The sequence below is a fragment of the Homo sapiens genome, chromosome 12 (genome assembly GCF_000001405.40).
Source record: "Homo sapiens chromosome 12, GRCh38.p14 Primary Assembly".
In the NCBI taxonomy this organism is placed as follows: domain Eukaryota; kingdom Metazoa; phylum Chordata; class Mammalia; order Primates; family Hominidae; genus Homo; species Homo sapiens.
The window spans coordinates 53,036,372-53,043,188 of record NC_000012.12 but is presented as its reverse complement, the minus strand read 5'-3'; the positions used below and the strand labels follow the sequence as shown (position 1 = coordinate 53,043,188).

The following is a 6,817-nucleotide window of genomic DNA, read 5'->3' as shown; positions in this document are numbered from 1 at the left end:
CTTTCCTATTTTTATGTTCCTTCTTTCCATCATTTACCTAGACCTCATTATTGCACAGCTGAGAGTGGCTTGAAACAAAGGCTTGGAGAATGTGAGTGAAACTGATTCCTGTGGTGGAGAGGCAGTGAAAAAGCATTACCTTGTAGGTTTCCAGGCAGCCTGGACAATAGGGGCACCTAAACCCACATTGAAAAGCCTTCACATCATCACAGCTGAGTCTCATAGCCTTCAACTTTACCAGTTTTGGAGAACAGAGATAAATGCACTGGCCAGAAACTAGAAGAGCAGCTGCTCCAATTGGCTGGGAAATCATTTAACTGGCTCCTCATCTTGGCTCTTAAATCCCCAAAATTGTTGACTGAGGTTTCCCGGGCTCCTTTCTATGCTCCACCTCCTTGTGACCTTAAGGATTCTCTGCCACTGTCCTAACCCCTTTCCCGCCTTGCAACAATGACCAGTCTGTCCCTAGCTGTTTGGAAAATTCCCACTGAGTCTGTGAGCCTCTGTTCTGGTAACCTCGACCAGCCTGTCACCAGTATCTCTGGTCCACCAGTGCGGTGTAACTCAAGGGAGCAGCATCTCTCCAGATTGCTGAAGTGAGGGAGGGAGATTATGAGGGAACTGCCCCAAGGACACAAGGATTCATTCTTAGAGTTCCCACATCTTGATTAAAATAAACAGTACAGGAAATAGACTGCAGGCACATCCAGGTGATTAAAAAATTTAACACCAGGCAAAAAAAAAAAAAAAAAAAAAAAAAAAAGCCAGAGGGGAGCTAGGATGCAAACTCTATTATTGGGCCTCAATAAACACTGAAATAGATTCCCTTGTAACCCCACCCTCTAATCTTGGACAATATGGTATCCAATACTGAATGAAAACTTCAGAGATGGTAGGAGGAGGAGGAGCAGGTGGTCAATGACTACAGTAAAAACCACTGGGAGTGCAGAGTATTTGTCAAAGAACTTCAGCATTACAATGAACTTTAAAGATCAGATTTATTTGGAGAAAACAAAAAACCCACAACCCAAAGGATGGGATTTTACATCAAGACATCTCCCAGGTAATAAGTCTACAGATTACAAATCATTTTCATAGAAGATATTTTTGTACAAATTTTACATGTATTCAGGAGCGGGACATTAATCAATCCCTGTTTCTATTTTAATAGGGGGGACAAGGTAGGGGAGAGGGAAAAACAGTTTTGGATATAACTATTTGGAAGGAGAGTAGACATGAAGAGGGCAAACCCTAGCTTTTCATTATCTACAATCAATAGTTTGTTTTTCTTTTTTAAAAAAGAAAGAAAAACCCTTTCAATCTTCAATACTCTTTAAAAGCCCACTTCTTAGCTACTGGCCAATCCACACCAATTATTTAAATTCACTTGGTACACACCTTTGTCCACTGGGTAAATTATATTCATTATGCCCACTGCTGCAGCACGCATAAACCAACACCCCTGCATGGCTGAACAGGGCCTAATCTAGGACTGATGGGAGAAGGGCTTGCAAACCAAGATCAAGGTGTTTCTCCGCTAATACTGTCTACCAAGCTGATCCCTACAAAAATGCATATAAAAGCAGGCAAGTTTAGCTACTGTGTTGCAAGAGAAACCAGGACCTTGTTAAATAGTTCTCTCCATTACCATTTATTCTCTCAAGGGAAGCTTAAAAAAACAACAACAAAACAACACATTGGTCTGGCCACCTCATGAATCCAACAAGCATTAGTGTGGCATTTCAGTGGAGAAGGAAACTTGGGGGGAAAAATCCCATCAAGGTTGTAAGAAAGGCTCCCAATTTAACTGTCCCTGTCCCTATTTATCCATCATCCAAGACCATCCATTATTCTAGAGCACTCTGATCAATAAAAGGGGTCCAAGCATCAGGAGCAGGCAAGGAGAACCAAAAGACATCAAGAAACCGATTTGCTTGAGAAAAGCAGCGATTCTTCCTTTCAGAGTTCTCCATGGCTGAGAAAATGCCCAAGACATCATGTATGTGACTTAGATACTGCTTTTTGGGAGGTTAAGAGTAGCATGAAGAACTTAAGATGATGATAAGAGTCTAAATTTTTAGTTTCAAGGTTTCAATAGAATGTGGATATATTCAAAACTTTCAAAAAGGACAGTGTTTAGAAAGGGTAAAACTAGGACACAGAAAACACTGGGAATTACCACGACCCCCAAGTGCTTCCGGCTCCAGGAAATAACCATTCATGTGTTTGCTGGAGGTCACACAATTTTCCCCTATTACCTGGTGCAAAATGACTCATCACTTCCCAAAAGCTTCTTTTCAAACCACGATTTTCCCATTTATTTTGGTCCAATGCAGTCCCATTCTTTATGGCCTATAGTCTCACTCCCAACTACCCCCCTGGGGGGTTAAAAAAAAAAAAGGAATTCCCTCTAGGCTGGCCCCCAAAACTCAGAATTAAATAAGAGGAGGGGCTGGCAGCCTCCTGGAGACTAGAACAACTTGAGGCTAAATCTACCTTTCCAAGAGTGGAAAATTTATTCAGATAATGTTTGAGAATTCATATATGCCACAATAGGATAAAAACTAAAAGGTAGAAATCTCACACTTTTCCTTCTACCTCCCTCCCCTACTGCCCAACCAGGTTCCAGGCATTATATCACTGTCATTACCATTTCTGCTAAATGGAGACCCCTAGGCACTAATCACACTGGCAACTGCATGGTGACATAACGCACCACAACTTTTCCTCTAAAAAGCTGTAGTCCCTTTCTCTCTGGCTGTATTGGCAATTCTCCAGTTACTTCAATACTTTAAAGGCTGCAGCAGCATGCAAAATAATTTCATTTTTTGTTTTTAAAAAAAGGTAAGAAAGGTCTTCAGGAGATGGTGAGTTTTATTTTGTCTTGTCTGGATAGAGGTTTTGATTTGCTCTCGAATGTTCCAGGGTGGAGAGAAACTAGGAGAAAAGCACAGGATGTAGAGGTCTATTCGGCATAATCTTCTCCCTCATTTTCATCTTCACCATCAACAGAGAGAGCAGCATACTTGCTTGCAGAACTGAACTTCTGTAACACAACGAGAGTGACAGGATAATGAAGGCCCTGAATTATCACATCAAAACCCAAGACACAGGATACTGATCCTTTGGCAATGGGGGATGACAGTCAGATGACACCCACTTGCTTGCTCATCAGCATTGTCCATTGGAGAGGAGCTAGGGAAGAGGGTCAGAGGCACATGCGATCTTACTATAGTCTCATACCACCTCTACACCTTGCAGAAGGGATGAGAACAAAGGAAGACAGAAACCAGGAAAAAGCTAAACTTCTTTCGCTATTTCAGTAAAGACCAATGTCTTATTTCCAAACACTTTGTATTCCAAATGGAAAGAAGTCCAACGGCAAAAAGTTTAGAATACTAAGAATTTTTAATTCTTAGTAAGAATACTTAGAATTCTAAGAATTTTTCTTAGAATGAAAAATTGGGAGCAGCCTTCAACACTTACGGAAGCTGGATTTTCCTCAGGTTTCTTTGGCTCAGGTGCAGATCTGGAGTCTTGATCCTTTTTGCCATCTTTCCTGCAGAGACGTAAGCATAAAACCATGTCTTTAGGAAAGGACTCGCCTAATACAAACATGTGTATGCATGCAGTTTCAAGGCACTGAACAGGCACCTCTAGTCAACAGTCCTTGTTGTCTGGATGATGTATTACTTCTAGATTTTCAGAATCTTAACTGTCTACGTTGGCTGACTTTAGTTTGCTCACAATGAGCGATCTGGCAGTGCTCTGAGAACCAAGAACTTAATTTCTTAATTACACAAACATGTGGATCAGAGGAAAGATGAGAAAGAGAACAAGCATACCTATCTGACTCCTTCCAGTGGTCTCTGTTCCCTCCGTCGCCTGGACCACGGCTAGAGTTCCCAGTTTGGCCTTTTGGGGCATTCATCCCATCTACTTTATTTTCATCTGCTTGGGCAGTAATGTAAACAAATTAAAGGCAAGTAAAAGTATCAATGTCCCTCTCCTAAGATTTCCCTTAAGCTGAAGAAAATTGTGCCCACATGTACTGAGGGAAACTAACCTCACCCCAACCCAGACTTCCTTCCTGAAGCCCTTCTTTCCACATCCTCTACAGCACACAAAAATACAAAAAACAAACAAAATCCACTAAAAAGTTCCATGTAGGGATATGCCATCATGAAAAGCAAGCTGGAAATAAAGATTATGACGCTCTGTAGTGACCTTGGTTAATTTCCTTCCGATTTTTTTCTCCCCGTCAAAGAAATGTTCTACCAGGAAAGGGCAGGGTTTCATACTTTCTCCAAAGAGGCCACTCCTCCCTCTACTGGCAAGAAAAGGTAGATAACCCAATAATTCTTTTTTTTTTGAGACAGAGTCTTGCTCTGTCGCCCAGGCTGGAGTGCAGTGGGGCCATCTTGGCTTACTGCAACCTCCGTCTCCCGGGTTCAAGCAATTCTCCTGCCTCAGCGTCTCCCGAGTAGCTGGGATTACAGGCATGTGCCACCACACCCGGCTAATTTTTTTTGTATTTTTAATAGAGACGGGGTTTCACCATGTTGGTAAGGCTGGTCTCAAACTCCTGCCCTGTGATCTGCCCGCCTTGGCCTCCCAAAGTGCTGGGATTACAGGTGTGAGCCCCTGCGCCTGGCCAACCCAAGAACTCTTAACACGGTATCAGGTGCGAGACACACTGCTCTTCAAAATCTAATTTTGGAGGCCTTTTTATTTAGGCTTCTAGGTGAAAAACCTATTTCCCATACTATGAGCTCACCTTTCCTTCCTGGTCCTTCCTCAGATGGTTGAGCTGGAGCTACTTTTCCCCCACCACTAGAAGGAAAACAGGTAATCACATTCATCAGTTGTTTCAGGGAGAAAACAACCAAGAAACATAATCATCCTCCAAATGCAGTGGGTAAGCTTTATAGAAAACAAAATCATACTCAATGTTATGGAACATTAAAATATGGGAAAGATTACAATGAAAGCAGTAATTTGAACACTAAAGTGCCATATGCTTTCTAATCATCACATCATGCAGGATTAGTATTGCTATTTTCTTTTCTTTTGGAGTCTTAACTCTGTCGCCCAGGCTGGAGTGCAATGGCACATCTCGGCTCACTGCAACCTCCGCTCTCAGGTTCAAGCAATTCTCCTGCCTCAGCCTCCCGAGTAGCTGGGATTACAGGTACCTGCCACCACGCCAGGCTAATAGTGTTGCTATTTTGCTTACAAATGAGAAGACTTAAGAGAAATGAAAGGAAGTTACCCCCTACCATACTGCCAATATGTGGCAAAAGGGAAGCCTCTGACTTACAGTATTTGCAGATTTGTGCGGCATTAGTACTCCCATCATAGCTGATTTCAAGCTATCAAAGTGGTGGAACTCCAGAAAATGGAACAACTAGGTCTTATGAGCCAGTTCCAGCACACTAAGAGACTAAAGCCAGCATAACTTATAAGGTGCTATACAACGCTGGCATCCCGTAGGAGATCTTCCATCATTACATCACAGTATTTTAGAATCTGCAGTTAACCAACTACTGTTTCCAAACTGACTCACCTTGTAGGGGACTGCTGCTCTGTGTCTGAGCTCTGAGATCGAGCAGGAGGGTTAGAACTTCGCTTCACCCAAGCATTCTCCTTTGGTGGAGGGGCTGGCATTACCTTTAGGGGCTGATCAGGTTTGGGAGGTTTAGAAGTTGGAGAGTGGCAATCTTCCTCCTTATTGAGTGTTTCATTTTCTAGAGACTTCTCACTCTCTCTCCTTCGTGCATCTGTGAAGCCAGAGTGAAAATATCAAATTATCAGGCTGCAGATGCTCACGCATCTACCAGGATCTCAACAGTGTGGAAAATGGTCCACATCCAAGTTTTGGCTCCCAAAGATGGATTTATCCCTAAACCAGTGGTTTACAAGTATTTCCAGAACAATGTCTTACTGATGCACAGAGAAATAGAAAAAATAATGACCATGTATACAACTTAAGGGACACCCAGCCATGTGACCTTTTTAGGAATGAGTATCCTTTACAGCCTTTCTGCATTCTCAATGTTAAAAGTGTCTTGACCTGGAGAATATACATATGTGAAGAGGACCTACAATGAAACCCCAAACTCTAGTAACCACTGCTCAACTTCAGCTTAAAACTCAACACACATGGACTATGATGCAATCATATTTATGAAAAACCACCTACTGGCTGGGTGCAGTGGCTCTCGCCTGTAATCTTAGGATATTGGGAGGCTGTTGGGGGCGGATCGTTTGAGCCTAAGAGTTTCAGACCAGCCTGGACAACATGGTGAAACCCCAGCTCTACAAAAAATAGACAAATTAGCTGGATGTGGCATGTGCCTGCAGTCCCAGCTACTAGAAATGATGAGGTGAGCTGTGATCATGTTGCTGCACTCCAGCCTGGCTGACAGAGTGAGACTCCATCTCAAAAAACAACAACCTACACGTGCGTTTTTTAAAAAATGCAGTTAAGTGTCTTCTAAAAACAAGGAGCCCCCATTGGGAGGCTGAGGCAGGATTGCTTGAGGCCAGGAGTTTGAGACCAGCCTGGGGAGTGTAGTGAGACCCCATCTCTAAAAAAACAAATTTTTTAAATTTAGCCAGGCATGGTTGCGTGCACCCGTCGTATAACAGCTACTTGGGATATTGGGGCAAGAGGATTGCTTGAGGCCAGGAGTTTGAGGCTGCAGTGAGCTATGATCGCACCACTGCACTCCAGCCTGGGTGAGAATGAAACCCTGTCTTAAAAATAAAAAACTAGGCCGGGCACGGCGGCTCACGCCCGTAATCCCAGCACTTT

At 43.0% G+C, this 6,817-nt stretch overlaps 1 protein-coding gene across 3 annotated transcripts in view; it reads right to left on the bottom strand.

The window, feature by feature from the left end:
- Positions 1-973: 973 nt before the first annotated feature.
- The window catches only part of EIF4B (eukaryotic translation initiation factor 4B), a 35,760-nt gene continuing 29,916 nt past the window's right edge, over positions 974-6,817 (bottom strand). For all 3 annotated transcript variants that reach the window (NM_001300821.3, NM_001417.7, NM_001330654.2), the window contains 5 exons: positions 5,567-5,780; positions 4,778-4,833; positions 3,846-3,951; positions 3,487-3,559; positions 974-3,046 (listed from right to left, as the gene is read on the bottom strand). In NM_001300821.3, the coding sequence (NP_001287750.1) occupies positions 2,966-3,046; positions 3,487-3,559; positions 3,846-3,951; positions 4,778-4,833; positions 5,567-5,780 (530 nt within the window). In that variant the 3' untranslated portion in view covers positions 974-2,965. The remainder of the gene's footprint in view (positions 3,047-3,486; positions 3,560-3,845; positions 3,952-4,777; positions 4,834-5,566; positions 5,781-6,817) is intronic.